At 43.9% G+C, this 15470-nt stretch overlaps 1 protein-coding gene and 1 pseudogene across 2 annotated transcripts in view, besides 1 other annotated feature; both read left to right on the top strand.

Annotated features, from left to right (window-relative positions):
• Nucleotides 1-15470, top strand: part of FOXN3 (forkhead box N3) — a 462989-nt gene that overhangs the window by 327312 nt on the left and 120207 nt on the right. For both annotated transcript variants that reach the window (NM_001085471.2, NM_005197.4), the window contains exon 4: nucleotides 10840-10904. In NM_001085471.2, coding sequence (NP_001078940.1) covers nucleotides 10840-10904 — 65 coding nt within the window. The remainder of the gene's footprint in view (nucleotides 1-10839; nucleotides 10905-15470) is intronic.
• Nucleotides 181-1856, top strand: CAP2P1 (cyclase associated actin cytoskeleton regulatory protein 2 pseudogene 1; annotated as a pseudogene).
• Nucleotides 15103-15202: an enhancer, noted in NCBI's record as "active region_8849". NCBI's record gives its function as "activates an Ori minimal core promoter by ATAC-STARR-seq in GM12878 lymphoblastoid cells {active_cell/tissue: GM12878}" and the evidence as "EXISTENCE:reporter gene assay evidence [ECO:0000049][PMID:35858748]".

Below are 15470 nucleotides of genomic sequence, written 5' to 3'. Positions count from 1 at the left end.
CCACAGTGTAGCATCCCAGGACAAGAATTATCCAATCCAGAATGTCAGTAATGCTGAGGTTAAGAAATCCGGCCGTAGGTCAATCGCAGTTCGCAAACACGTTCAAGGAATGAAGTCCCAACTGAATGGCAGGCTTTGGGGAATGTGATGAAACTTCAGTATATTTAAAACAACACAATAAGGGCCACAGGAAGAGAGCATGAGTGGCCGGCCACAGATTTGCATTGCCAAAGACAGGACCCCAGGGCAGCAAAGCAGAATGGCAGACATGTAGGGACTGCTGGAAAGACTGGAGTGGGCTGTCAGCTGCCTGGAGTCGCTGTCTGCAGAGTCCCACAGGCCCCCTGGGGATGGCGGGGTAAGCAAGAGTGTCTGTGGAGGTGTGGCACCCTCCGTGGAAGCCTTTGATAAGCTGATGAACAGCATGGTGGCCAAGTTTTTAAAGAACAGTAGCATCCTTGCTGGTGACATGGAGACTTATGCAGAAAGGGTGTTACAGGGCTTTCCTTCTGATGGCATCTCATGACCAACAACCCCGAGAGAATGCGTGGCTGCATTTCTGAAACCCAAATCAGAAAAGATTCAGAAGTCCAAACCTTCAAAGAGAGAAACCGAGGGAGTAACATGTTTAGTCATCTCTCGGATGTCAGCAAAAGCCTCCCTGCCCTTGGCTGCATAACTGTGCCCCCCAACTTGGGTACTTACGTCAACGAGATGTGTGATGCTGCCACCTTTTACACTAACAGGGTCTTAAAGGGCTACAAACATGATTTACACCGTGTGGATTGGGTGAGGTCATATGTGAACATTTGGAGTGAGTTTCAAGCATGAGTCAAGGAGCACCACACCACGGGCCTCACGTGGAGCAGAACAGGTCCGCAGCACCCACATCAGCGCTTTCTGTTCTCTCCTGAGGGCCTGACCTTTCTCCACATCCTCCTCACCTCCTCCAGGGCCCCTCCACTTTTTGAGAATGAAGACACAAAAGAAAAGTCCTCTCCTTCATGCTCAGCTTTATTTGCCCGGTTTAACCAGGGAGAAGCCTAACCCTGCAGAACCAGGGCTCTGGCACATCACTGATGACCAGAAGGCCTATATAAGAATCCCAGCCTGCAGGCTCACGGAGGGCAAAGTACGTCTCCCCACAGAAGCTACATTCCAAGTCCCACATCTCCCAAACCTCATCCTTCCCAGCAACATGCACCCGTGTTCAAGTTGGAAGGAAGTAAATGGAGAGCAGAGTACCAAGAAGACAGGAATGACCTTGTGATTTCAGAGACTGAGCTGAAACAAGTGGCTTACATTTTCAATTGTGAAAAATCAGCTCTCCCGATGAAAGGGAAAGTAAACTCCATTCCAGTGGAAAACTGTAAGAAGTTTGGTCTGGTCTTTGACAGTTTGGTGGGCATTGGGGAAATGACCAACTCCAAGTACATTCAAATCCAGGTAATGGGGAGAGTACCAGCAATTTCCACTAATAAGACAGAAGGTTGCCACACATACCTAACTCGGGGAAGATGCATTAGACTGTGAGATTGTGAGCATCATATCATCCAAAATGAATATACTTATTCGTCAGGGTGGTAATGACAGAGAATTTCCTGTCCCTGAGCAGTTCAAGACAGCATGGGATGGATCCAAGTTGGTCAGTGAACCCCCTCACCTGAGTCCCTCCATCAAACAAATAAAAAAGTAGCAGTAAAGAACTGGAAGTTGCAGAAGCACCTTCCACTTTAGTTTTGGCCTCCGACAATTCTGTGCTATAGACACAGCATCGTTTCTGGCACGACTTTGTGGGCATTTTGAAGTACTTAACATTTCTTCATGATTTGCCTGTGTGTGTGCGATTTTAGTTCCACGTGGTGACTTGTGAACATTATGGATTTAAAGGGAAAAAAAAGAAGTCTGTTCCCCTCATATCACAAACATAGTAACTGATAGGTAAAAATACTGCATGATTCAATTTTCCACGTATGTTCAATTGCTTGTTGAAAAATAAACTAAGATGTACATTTTTATCTTTTAGACAATTTCAATATGATGTAGTAGTAATGTGCCCTGAGAAATGTACAGTTTTTTTCTTATCGTGAGCACATGTTCACCTTTGGCAGTGTGGATATGCTGTCAGCAGGAGTACGTATTTCCGCCCACGCTTTTAAAAGATGTAAGAACATTTCATATTAAGGACCAAATTCAGGTTCTTTGTCCTTGAAAGACCTATATTCTTTATAGTTACTAAAAACCAAAAGTATAAATTTGAATTATTCATCTTATATGTATTTCTACCGTGTCATTTGAAAACTTACTTTTCTGCATAAGAGATTTTTGTGTCAACAGATTGATGGGAGGAAACAGTGCTTTTGCTATGTAGTACCTCGCAGTGTTGCCCAAAAATCAAGCTCAGTGTCTGTTTTCCAATTTTGAACATGTTAAATGTCAGATGTCTTCTAAATGGTGTCTTTAATGTTTTATTATAGTCTAATTTTTTCTTTTCTGCCTGCCAGACTTGCTAACCAGTCGCAAAAATGAACATGAGAAAAGCCATGGATGTATTACTTCTCCTAAAGCCTAAGGAATTATTTGTTAGTTTGGCTTTCTGCTCTGATTTTGTAGTCTTGCTAATACATGCTTTTTCTTTTCTTTTCTTTTTCTTTTCTTTTTTTTTTTTTTTTGAGACAGAATTTCACTCTGTCACCCAGGCTGGAGTACAGTGGCATGATCTCGTCCCACTGCAACCTCTGCCTCCTGGGTTCAAGCGATTCTTGTGCCTAAGCCTCCTGAGTAGCTAGGGTTATAGGCGCCCACCACCATGCCCAACAAATTTTTGTATTTTTAGTACAGACAGGATTTCGCCATGTTGGTCAGGCTGGTCTCGAACTCCTGGCCTCAAGGGATCCGCCCACTTGCGCCTCCCAACTGGGATTACAGGTGTGAGCCACCACACCCGGCCCCATGTTTTTTTCAATGTTAAGAGAAATTATGATAGTCCTTTGTATCTTTTCAGTACGTAGTGTTGAAAAATCTGCAACTTCTTGGATGACATTTAATGAATTATAGTATAATGCTTACGGACCCAGTGCAAGCATATATATATATATATATATATATATATATATATATATATATATAGAGAGAGAGAGAGAGAGAGAGAGAGAGAGAGAGAGAGAGAGAGAGAGAGAGAGAAAGAGAGTGCCTATTACAGCCTTTGGAGTATGTCGTTTCCATTTTTAAAATATCTTCTATATCTGTGTAGTATTTGGATTATTAATGCTCACATACCAAGGTTTTGCTATAAAAGTTTTGTTCGTATAATGTTGATAGTAAACATCATTTTTCAACTGTAAACTTATTCTGAAATAAAGTAAAATGATAATTGTTTAAAAGTAAAATAAAATAGCTCGATAGATATGGTGCCAGAGCAGCTGCCACCTGTCAGATTCTCATGGGTCCTGGTGGTATTGGGCATACAAGAACTATGTGCAGGCTGATACCTTTGAAATCAGTTGAGTCTCCAGTGTCAACATTTGGCTAAGTTTACAGAGCAATTCCATTTCTTATCTTGATTGGTGCATTGCCCTCTGAGTAATCTTGCCACACACTCAGTTATAGTGTTGGTGGGCCTGGTTGGTTGTGGTCTGATCACTTCAGTCATGCCTCCTCAGCAATTGTCATCCTCTGAAATGGGCCACTCTTGGTAGGTTTCTACCTGGTCTCTTTCTGTCTCTTGATCGCGTGCCCATTTTGGATCTTTGCAGGATTCTGCATGGAGCTATATATATATATATTTTTTTTTGAGACAGGGTCTTGCTCTGTTGCCCAGGCTGGAGTGCAGTGGTGTGATCAAGGCTCACTGCAGCTTTGGAGCTCCTGGGCTCAAGCGATCCACCCACCTCAGCCTCCTGAGTAGCTGAGACCACAGGCACATGCCACCACACTGGGCTGATTTTGTTTATTTTTTGTAGAATAAAAAAATGTTTTATTTTTAACGTTTCCCAGGCTGGTCTCAAACTCCTGGGCTCAAGTGATCTTCCTGCCTAGACCTCCCAAAGTGCTGAGGTTACAGGGGTGAGCCAACAGTTACTTTTTTTTTTTTTTTTTTTTTTTAGCATTCTTTAGAGTAAGTGACATCTGTGAAGTTGCTTCTTGGATATTTAGTAAGTGTTGCTACTTTAGACTGAGAAATATTTGCAATTAGAACATCTCCAAGAATCCTTAAAGAAAAAAGGAAAAGTGCAGTTACCTCATCTGTCACAGGAATGGAAAAACGGGCCAAGTTGGGAGAGTTAAGGATGTCTAGGAGGAAGTGCTGGTGCCCACCTGACAATGGCCACAATGTTGCTGTGTGGCCTTGAGTGTGTCAGTTAACTCTGAACTGGGGTTTGCTTGCAATCAAGACTACCACTGGGGCTGGGCGTGGCTCACACCTGTAATCCCAGCACTCTGGGAGGCCAAGGCAGGAGGATCACTTGAGGTCAGGAGTTCGAGACAAGCCTGGCCAATGGCGAAACTGTGTCTCTACTAAAATTACAAAAAGTAGCCAGGCATGGTGGTGCATGCCTGTAATCACAGCTACTCGGGAGGCTAAGGCAGGAGAATTGCTTGAACCCGGGAGGCAGAGGTTGAAGTGAGCCCAGATCACACCACTGCACTCCAGTCTGAACGACAGAGCAAGACTCTGTCTCAAAAACAAAAACAACTAAAAGAAAAACCACCTTTGGGATTTTTGCAGTCTAGAAAGCAATTTTTTTCCCCCATCATCTCATTTTATTCTCACACATTGCCCCCGGCTTGCAGGCATGGAATTGAGACTTTGACAAGTTAAAAGACTTTCAGTCTGTGTTTTAAACAAAATTTCTGAGTCCAAATCCCACGGTCTCTCCACTTCACCCTGGATTGGACCCTGTGGCCACAGAGATCCCTTTTAATTGCCGGGACACTCAAGCTTCTTTGGAAGGTTAGAAAAGTGTCAAGAGTGTCCCCGAGAATCTGAACTTTCATCTGTGTTCTTAGTGATGCTTCTCAAACGGTGAGTGGTATTTTGTGAAGCTTCCCACACACGTCTCTGTCCAGCCTGCTCTGGTTGCCGTGTTCCAAATGCCAGCGAGTGACATCCTTCACTCAGAGAGCCCCTGTTACATTGTGGCGTAGGTCACATTTGGTTTTCTATTATTTCCTGGTGATTAATCCCCAGTTATAAGGCAAAACAATGGAATTTCAAGGATTTTTTGTGGTGGGTGATTCTCCCTTTGTTACAACTGCGTTGACTGTTTTATTCCTGGGGAAATTGCAGTCTGGTGGTAGATGTCACCCATCCGAAGGGATTGCCATCACAGTCCATCTCCAGCGCTAAGAGTATGATAGGACTCTGTGCTCGGTTGCTTAAGAGTAGTGGGTAAGCTCTGGCCTCCATGAGTGCTAAATCAGGGTGGGCTGGTCTTGCTACACCCACTTTTTCCCCCCACCCCATCCCCGTTGGTTTGGGCTTTCTGCTTTGTCGTGTGCTGTGGACCATTCTGGCAGAAAGCTGACCATGGGGGACATTCAGATATTCTTCCTTTCTTCCCGCCCCAAGCACTTTAGGCTTTCATTCATTTCTTCAGAGTCCTTCTTATCATCTCAATCTCTCTGTTCTTTCTTCTTCCTCCCCCTCCCTTCTTCCCTCCCTACTCCTCTCCCTCCTCCCCTCCCTACTCCTCTCTTGTTTTATACATTAACAAAAATTATTTATGTTGAAGTGGGCAGATCACTTGATCCCAGGTGTTTGGGATCAGCCTGAGCAACATAGTGAGACCCTGTCCTACAAACAACAACAAAAAAAACTTAGCCAGGCATAGTGGTGTGTGCCTGTAGTCCCAGCTACTCTGAGGGCTGAGGCAGGAGGATTGCTTGAGTCCAGGAGCTGGAGGCTGCGGTGAGCTGAGATTGTGCCACGACACTCCAGCCTGTGTGACAGAGCAAGACCCTGTTGTCAAAAAAAAAAAAAAAAAAAATTTTTGGTAAAATACATATAATTTACCATCTTAACTATTTTGTAAGTATGCAGTTCTGTAGTGTTAAGTGCATTTACATTGTTGTACAACCAACCTCCGGAACTCTTTTCGTCTTGTAAAACTGAACCTCTGTACCGATTAAACTCCCTACTCCTCCTTCCATGAGCCTCTAGCAACCGTCATTCCATTTTCTGTCTCTGTGAATTTGTCTACTCTAGATACCTCTTCTATGTGGAATCAGACAGTATCTGTTTTATTTATTCTGGCTTATTTCACTTAGCTTGCTTTCAAGGTTCATCCATGTTGTAGCATCTTCTTCTCTCTCTCTTTTTTTTTTTTTGTTTTGAGACGGAGTCTTGCTCTGTCACTCAGGCTGGAGTGCAGTGGCGTGATCTCGGCTCACTGCAACCTCCGCCTCCTGGGTTCAAACAATTCTCCTACCTTAGCCTCCTGAGTAGCTGGGATTACAGGCATGCGCCACCATGCCTGGCTAATTTTTGTATTTTTAGTGGAGACGGGGTTTCACCCTGTTGGTCAGGCTGGTCTCGAACTCCTGACCTTGTGATCTGCCCACCTTGGCCTCCCAAAGTGCTGGGATTACAGGCGTGAGCCACGATGCCTGGCCCACTTCTCTCTTTTGTAGGTCCTAGTTCACATTTGGCAGGTGAGATCTTAGAAAACAGTCCTTTTCTTAATTTATTTCTCATTGAGATCCACAGAAAGTTCAGCTGGTGAATACAGGTGTGTGTCTTGGCGGAACCTTCCAGGGTCTTGGTTTATAATCCAGGTGGTTCTCACAATGGTTAAGGTTCCTGGGTATAGAGAACACATGATGGATCACGTCATCTTGCTAAGAGCCACCCTCAGGCTGTCCGACCTGTTGACTCAGGATATCCCCTTGGGAGCTGGAGGTAGTGCAGCTCAGAGTGTGGGATCCGGGAATTACTGAGGGCTGAGTCTCTGGCAGCCGCCGGGTATGCTGTTCAGGATGGTATCACTCACCTCTTGGGATTTGCAGGCTCAGCGCTGCTCTTAACGATCAGCTGGATCAATGTTCTCAAATGCCAGGTCGCACTCCACCTTGCTGGCCGGCAAGGTCCTCTTAACCTGTTGGTCTGCTTTCTTTGTTACAAAGTTGGTCTGGCTTATACTGCTGAAGGTCATGGGATTTTTGCTAGCATATTATTGAAATGAGACATTTGTGGCACTGGCGTTGTATTGTTTCTGCTAATAGGAGCCCGCGTGTCTTTCACATATGGTTAGTCTGATTGCTTTTTCTAGCCTGGGACTTTGCCTTGGAGAGAGTCCTAGCAAAATACCATTCACAGCCTTCTTCCACAGGGAAGGATGACTAAGAGTTTAGTGCTGGAAGAGCAGAAGAGGAAAGCTGGAAGATCAGAAATGAAATTGGAGCTGTTGATGCGTGTGTCTCTATGGTACAGTGGGCAAGCCCTAGTCCTTCTTGGGTTGATCACTAACTTGTCATGCAGTGTCTTGGGCAAGTCCTTTCACCTCTCAGGACCTCTGTCTGTCTCCCTATAGAACGGGGAAGGTGGCCGGGCATGGTACCTCACACCACCAGTGCTTTGGGAGGATGAGGCAAGGGGATCACTGGAGGCTAGGAGTTTGAGACCAGCCTCAGCAACAGAGCAAGACTTCGTCTCAATTTAAAAAAATTAAAAAAAAAAATGGATGGGTCAGGCATGGTGGCTCACCCCTGCAATCCCAGCACTTTGGGAGGCCAAGGCGAGTGGATCGCTTGAGGTCAGGAGTTCGAGACCAACCTGGCCACTGAAATCAGTTGGTGAAACCCTGTCTCTCCTAAAAATACAAAAATTAGCCGGGCTTGCTGGCAGGTGCCTGTAATCCCAGCTACCCAGGAGGCTGAGGCAGGAGAATTGCTTGAACCTGGCAGGTGGAGGTTGCAGTGAGCTGAGATCGCACCACTGCACTCCAGCCTGGGCTACAGAGCGAGACTCTGTCAAAAAACCCCCCAAAAAACAGGAAGGTGATTTCTGCCCTGCTCACCCTGCAGAATTAGAGGATTCCATGGAAAAGGGTTGATTACTATGCTCAGTAAATGGTAACTTGATCCTAGGGTCATGTAATGCAAACACCATTTTAAGGTGATTAAAACCCACTCAGGGTTAACAAGGGGCCCCCATGGTCATTTCTCATGGCAGTGATATTTACATGGCTGGGTATGGAGCGCACCCCATTCTTCCCCTTCACCCGCCACTCCCACCCTCCCCGCTTTTGAGCTGCCTGAGGATGGGTGGTTTGCAACTCCTCCCACAAAGACTTCTGTCACTGGTTTCATCTCTGAATTACTGTGGTTAATAGACACTTCTAAGTAATTTCATGTACTATGTGTGGTTTTAACCAACTTTAAGCTTTAAAGGCCAATCATCCAGGGACATCTCCAGATGGAGGGGGGAAAAAATCAAGCTTGTTGCCTTCCCAACCTGCAGCCACTGGAGGCATAACCATGAGTCTGTCTATAGGCATTGCTGGTCTCATTAGATAGAGTCAGAGGAGTTTGGAGCCAGGTAAGTATGACAGCAGGTTCTTAGAGGTCATAAAATAGGGTTTTAAATTTTCCCCTCAAGTCTTTCTCAACACCAAGCACAATTCTCAGCAGGAGTTTAATAAATCCTCGGATCTTCTAACAGTTAGAAGATGTCATTTTGAGGAACCCTCCAAAAGAAGCGTGTAGATATGGGCCAGGGAGCTTGAAAACTTTGCAGTTAGCATGGCAGGAGCTGACTTACCCTGAGCTGGAAAGAGACCACTTGTGAATTCATCAATTACAACAGGGGCCAGGAAAGAGAAGGTGGTGGCCAGTCCAAGTCTCTCTCCACTACTAGAGTACAGATAAGTTCCACAGCACCACAGATTGACCATAGAACAGTGGTGATCAGTGATTTAAGTACATTAAAAGGATGTTGTAAGAATCTTTAGGTATGTTGTAAGAATCTTTATCATACAGAGAATTTTCCTTATCTAAACCACTGGATTTATCCGACCTTCATTCCCCATAGTGCTCCATCCCTGATGTCTACTCAGTTTTCAGCCAAATCAAGCTCAGGATAAAGAAGAGGTTTGGATGGAAGTAAGCTGGATATTCAGGCTCCTGCAGTAATACTCAATTATTGAATTCTCTAGAAACACCAACTCTGCTATAATGAAGTCCTCAGTTTTAAAATATCTTTATAAATCAGGTGATTCTGTATTGGCAACAGCCAGCTTGCTGTTCCCTGCTTTGTTATAAAAATTAGATGGTAAAATCCTGAGAGCTTGCTGGGATTGTTAAAAGATAATCTTAAGTATTTTAATGCACATTATTCTTCATGCAACTTTGAGCCTTAAGTGCCCCGAAACAGTAAGATCAGAATCCAATCGAAGAGCAATCAGCTGGTGTCATCATCCTGAGACTCCAGTCCGGTCTGCTGTTACCCTGTGAAGCTCCTGGCCACTCTGTGGTCACAACTACCTGGCTGAGAATCAGGGCTGTGGGAAATACCATGGCTGAGATGCGTGATGCTCATTTAATTTTAGTATAGTGGATCCAAAACAAAATAAAACAAAAGGTTCATTAACATCAAGGTTTATAGTATGTATTTTCTAGCACATTTGACATGATTTTGATGTGGGATAGCATTTTTGTGCTGTAGCTCATTTCTTCTTCCCTCCTACTCCTCCTCAATCATGTAATGTGTCCCTATACCTGCCATACTATTTGTACCTCTGGTAATGAAATTCCAGTGGGCAGAATGTGTCATTGGCATTTCTGCTTGCTAACAGTATTGCTGTCCTAGATAACTAGAGACCCTGGTTTAATGGTGAAGCATTCACCGTATAGCCCTTCAGATTCTTCTGTGTGTGTGCGTGTGTGTTTCTGCCAAACTTACAAATGCATTACTCGAACCTATTTTTCTCATATTGAAGGTGATTGATAATGCATTAACCAATATAATTTGTCATGTACTATTTTGATGAGAGTAATTTATACTGCCTCTTGGGCTGGATGTAGTAACATTTTTGACTAAGTACTTTCTAACATTAATCTAAACCAATCCTTGATTTAGAATATAACCTACTTTCCACTCTAAGGACATTTTACTAAGGCTGGCTTGGTTATAAAGTTTTCTACTGGCTGTCTTAAAACAGTGAAAATGCTCATCTATGAATGCGGTAAGTGTCTTTGTGATATATTGATCTCTCCTATTTTCTTGCCTCTCCTGTTACCACACTGTGGGTGGTAACATATCTGCAAAATGTTTTATAGGGTATGGAGTGCAACATTTTAAGCCAAAAAATTGAAAACAGGATACGAAACGAGAAGAGGGGGAAGGAGGAAATCGATTAAGGTCATCTCCATATATTAAGGATTTAGTGGTAGAAATGCCAAGAATGACAAGTTTGCATTTGTAGCAGGCAGGTGGCACCAGGAAGTGTTGGAAAACCCGCTTGGTCTCAGAAAACATGATTAGGACTTCTTTGCCACATACATTCATGAAATTATGAATAGGTTAGCAAATATCCTTAAGTTATACGCTATGCCGTTAAACCATGTGAATTTGCCATTTTGTGTATCTGTCGGTCATTCCAGTGCCCAGGTGTGAGCAGGGTCAAGATGATAAGCAGAATACTCACACAGATAGGTTCTGCACTGTGAAATATGAAGCCTGTTTACAATAAAGCAGACCTCATGGTTTTCGAGGATGCATTTTCAAAGGGTGTCAGTAATGCATACTTGGGGAAATGTTTTGAGGGAAGTGTGGGAAGGGGTTGCAGGTGTGTGAGTGCAGATGAACTTGGCCTTATGCTAGTTTCTTTTCTCTTTCAGCACATCAGGTCCACCCATCTGGCCGGGCAGTACCTTCTTCAAGAGAAATGGAGCCCTTCTCCAAGGTAGGTCCCTAGTAACACCCCTTCCTCTCCCTCCCCCTCACCCACCCGCCTTTCATCACTCCTTTGTGCTTGGTGTCAAATAGGACAGTTCTGTCCCGTTTAGGAGTGGCCGCTTTCTGGAGAAGTGTGACTGTTGTGGGTGGGGACTATTTGTCCAGTTCTCTTTATTTGTTCCTACTCAAGCTTCTCGGTCGCTGTGAATCATGAGTCTGAAACCAGGCCTCTAAGGACTGCTTCTTTGGCCCGCCGTCACTGTTCATATTCTGGAAGTGTTCGGCTTGCTTTGGTGATGTTGGAATTACATGGTAATTAGAATGCGACAGAAACATAAACTAGGCTGATAAAAGCAAACCCCTTTACATGTTTCAAAAACTTGAGCTGAAAAAGGAGGGTTTGGTTATTCTGGCACTTGTATCATCATGGAGGTGCATGCATTTCTTACTGTTGCCCAACATCTACATGTACCTGGAAGGTTGGCCGTGGTTTGTTCTGAGGTTCGGAGTCCAGTCACCCTACATTGGTCCCCACAAGTGTCACCTACAGGGGACACCCTTGCTGTTGTCCAGCTCAACTCAGCTGCCTTGTCCTAGTCCCTAGGCGGTGTGCTCATGGAATTCCAATGACCTTTCACCTCTACTTTTGCCATTAAGTTCCTTTTGAAATGGCCAAAGTTAAGGAGGAATAAATGATTTAAAAAATAGCAAAGAGGTTCATTTTTAATCCTTTTAGAAATTACTTTGGGGTTATCGCTATTTTGGATATCTGTTCTGTAAATAAAATGGAATTGAGTGGTTCCCGGGGCCTTCGAGCTTTCTATCCCTCCTACTTCTGTTGATTGGCTAGGAGTCAGACAGGCCCTGCTGGCCAAATGTGGATGAGTTTGGCTGTGCTAAGAGCTTTTGAACTACACTGGGCTTATGGTGAGGGATTTTAGTGTCTATTGATTGGTTGAGAGCTGTTTAGCCTCTTTCCCTTAGAAGTAGAGGCTGAGGGCCGGCCCTGTGTGTGAAGGAGTAGGAGATAAGTATGGTTAAGAAGAGAGACATGTATCTTCAGGTTTCCGTAGTAGCTCAAACCCTTGTCAGAGATGTCATCACATTTTTAGTGCTGATTTATAGGCCACGCAATTGCATACTGTGATTTTAATAGCCTGTGAAATTGGGAAATCAAGCGTTTCTTTGTATTTTTGCTTCGTACAGGTGAAATGTAGTCAGGCAAGTTTGGTTAAACCTAATTTTAATAATCATCGTAGATATCCTAAATGTTTAAGAAAACAAAAGGAAGTCCCTCCACTCTCAAAAATTAACACATAATTTAAAAAAATCTATTCTGTTTTCCCTTCAGATAGTAGAAGTGGAAACTGATTAGGATCAGCCTTTGGGTTCTTTTCAAGTGAGTTTCAAAGTTATGTGCGTCATTTTTCCTCTAGAACTATAGCAGTGATATGAATATCATTCAGGTTTGGATTATTTTGAGAAAAGAGATTTTGTTTTCTTAGAGCCTTTTCTCACGATTTTTATTCATTCACTTTGGCATTAGGTAAGTTCTTTTTGTTCGTTTCTGTGGGGCAAAAACATGAGGGAAATATTAATATTGATAAGGTTTCTGAAGTTGAGAGATGTCAGTATGAGATTATCCTGCGGGTGTAGACTTCTTTTCTCTTCCTGATAGGGTTACAAATTCCCCCAGTTGCTCTAGGAACTGTGAATTAAACTAGTACAGATTTCAGATGCTTATTGAATCCACATCCAGTTAAATGCAACCCATTAAAATTTTGTACATTTGAAAATCAGAAGAATCTTGATGAGAGCTTGGGAGGGTGGGCAGAGATTTGTTAACATTCATTTTTTTTTCTGTGATGTTTCTTCATTCCCTAGAGTTCTGGAGACACTTTTGTTGTGATAATATTTTTTTGGAATATGTGGGTATTCTTCCTAATTAATATTTTTGTGTCCTTTGGTGGGTGGTTCTGGGCCATGGGAAAGTTGCTAAGGCCCACAAGCAAGATTTTACGAATAAAGATATGAGTACCTAAAGAAGGGACTGTCCAGTCATGCCAGGGGAAGGTTTGGGTTAGAATCAAGTAGAAGAAAAATGTGCCTGTTTAATGCCACTCTCTCAGGTTTTTGATTTCTCACTTTCTGTTTTCAAAAATGTACGCACATCCCTCGTTTTTCCCTATAGCAAGTGGAAGAAAATTTTTCTAGATAATCAGACGAGTAGGGAACTCTGTTAATAGCTTCCAGCCACAGGCATTGGAATTGAGGGCAAGTAGAACGAGGATGCTTGTCCCCAAAGATGGCAATTCTCAGTGCTGGGTGAGAAGGTGCAGTTTGGTCACATGGGGGTGACGTGGGAATCTTTCTTTAGGGTGCTGTGGGACCAGTGACTGGCCAGCAGAAGCCAGCCGGGGTTATGGATCATGAGTTATGGATCACTAGCAGGACTGGCAGAATTGAACCAGGGTGGGGGATAACTTGCTTCATGGAGTGGTCTCCCCAGGACTCAATAATGCAGGATAGGAAAATAAGTAGGATATGGTTTGGCTGTGTCTCCAACCAAATCTCATCTTGAATTGTAGCTCCCATAATTCCTAGGTGTTGTGGGAGATCATTGAATCATGGGGCGGTTTCCCACATACTGTTCTCGTGGTGGTGCATAAGTCTCACGAGATCTGATGGTTTTATAAGGGGTTTCCCTTTTGCTTGGCTTTCATTCTCCCTTGTCTGTCGCCATGTAAGACGTATCTTTTGTCTTCCACCATGATTGTGAGGCCTCTCCAGCCACGTGGAACTGTGAGTCCATTAAACCTCTTTTTCTTTATAAATTACCCAGTCTCCAGTATGTCTTTATCAGCAGCGTGAAAATGGACTAATACAGTGGGGGTGCCCTGTCGTGTAGAGGAGGGAGACCTATTTTTGTCAGAAGGGTGGGAGCAGAGGGGCTGTCATTTCTTGGGAGAACTGACACTTAAGGCCTTAAAAAAGCAGATAGATTTAGGTGTGTGGAAATAGAAAAAAAATGTCATTGCAAGAAAGAGAAATAACCAGAGAACTTAGCTTCACAGAGACCATAGCAACAGCGCGGAACCTGAGCACTTCATAGACACCTTTGTATAGCGACGGGAAGAATAATGCAATGTCTGAAGAGGAAATAATGGAAGTTAAAACCTGAAGCAAAGTTGAAATCAAAATGACCTAATAGTTAGAGCGGGGCACCAGTTTTCATTGTCAAATCGTTGTTTGGTTTAGAGTGGAAACTTAGTACCTTTATTTTTCCCAGCACAAAACCAATTGTAAGAATTAACTGGTTGTTCTCGAGGTCCTCCCTGGACGTCGGGTGCCTGTATTTTGGTTCAGAATCACTGGCAAGAGGGGCTGCTGAATCACCTCTCGGTTTCGAGGATAATGGGGTAAGATTTGGTTTGGATTACACCAGGCATGGGTACTTAACATAATTGGTCATTTCATCAGTTCACAGTCTTTATTTTAAATGCCATTTAGGCTGCTACAGACAGTTTCAGCAGGCTAGAGAGCACTTCAATTCTTGTACAATGGAAACCAAGCAGAGCATTAGAAGGGGACAAGCTCATTTTTCAGAGGGGACCCAGGGCAGGCTGAACAGAAGAGTGGCTTATTCAGAGCCCTGCAGGCGTGGCCAGCTGACAGGTGTCCCCACCGTGCCTTCTTCTTGTGTCTGTGTGTCTCTGTGTTACGGTCTCTATGTGTTTGAAACGTGTTCTTTATTTTATTCGTTTAATTCATTTACTAATCTCTCTTATTTTGTTAATGAAAAGAATAAAGTCTTTTTTATATTTTCCCATTTCCAAACTCCCTGTCCCCCTCCCCCATATTCCATTCACCCATCAAACTTAAAATTAGGTTACTTTATTAAAACATCACCCTTGGATGATTTGTTGTAATGAGTCAGTGATTCATAATTAAAGACATTCCTCACCCCTAATCTGACCCTTCATCTGGTCTCTGATGGTTTCATCCCAAAATGACATAGGCACCTCTGCTCTTGGTAGCTTCATGCCTTCTGCTGAAAGTTGCCACAAGCCATGCTGATTTTATATCCTACTTCTGCCCTCTTGGTCTTGGTAGGCCCTGTTGGCCTCAGAGCTCCCCACGGAGTTTTGTTCAGAGAGGAGCTACTGCCTGACCATTTTGGCCTGCTTTTATTTCTAGCTCTTCCTCCAAGCAGGCATTCCCTGGGCCTACCCTCCCCACCCCACCTGCAAGCATTTCTTGATGGTACATCTCTGTGTGTCCAGTCCTGGGTTAGGCTGGAGATCCCCAGGGGAAGTCCAGGTCCCACCCTCTCAACCAGGTCCCACCCTCTCAACCACTCACAGCCCGTTCTGTGGTCAGACCACGAGTCCTAGCCCTTCTTGGAAAAGGCTGCTTGGCCCACCCACTCTAAGAAGCCCAGCCACTCTCAGCACAGATGAAACCACTGGTTTTACAAACCTTTCCAGTGACTCACTTGACACCCTTATACCCTTCTGGTCATTCTTCCCTCTTCCTTTTCTCCGTCACTATAGTATTGGGCCTCTAATTATTA

Source organism: Homo sapiens, chromosome 14 (genome assembly GCF_000001405.40).
Source record: "Homo sapiens chromosome 14, GRCh38.p14 Primary Assembly".
Classification (NCBI taxonomy): Eukaryota; Metazoa; Chordata; class Mammalia; order Primates; family Hominidae; genus Homo; species Homo sapiens.
Note: the sequence above shows the minus strand (reverse complement) of the source record. Positions and strands in the feature narration are given on the sequence as shown.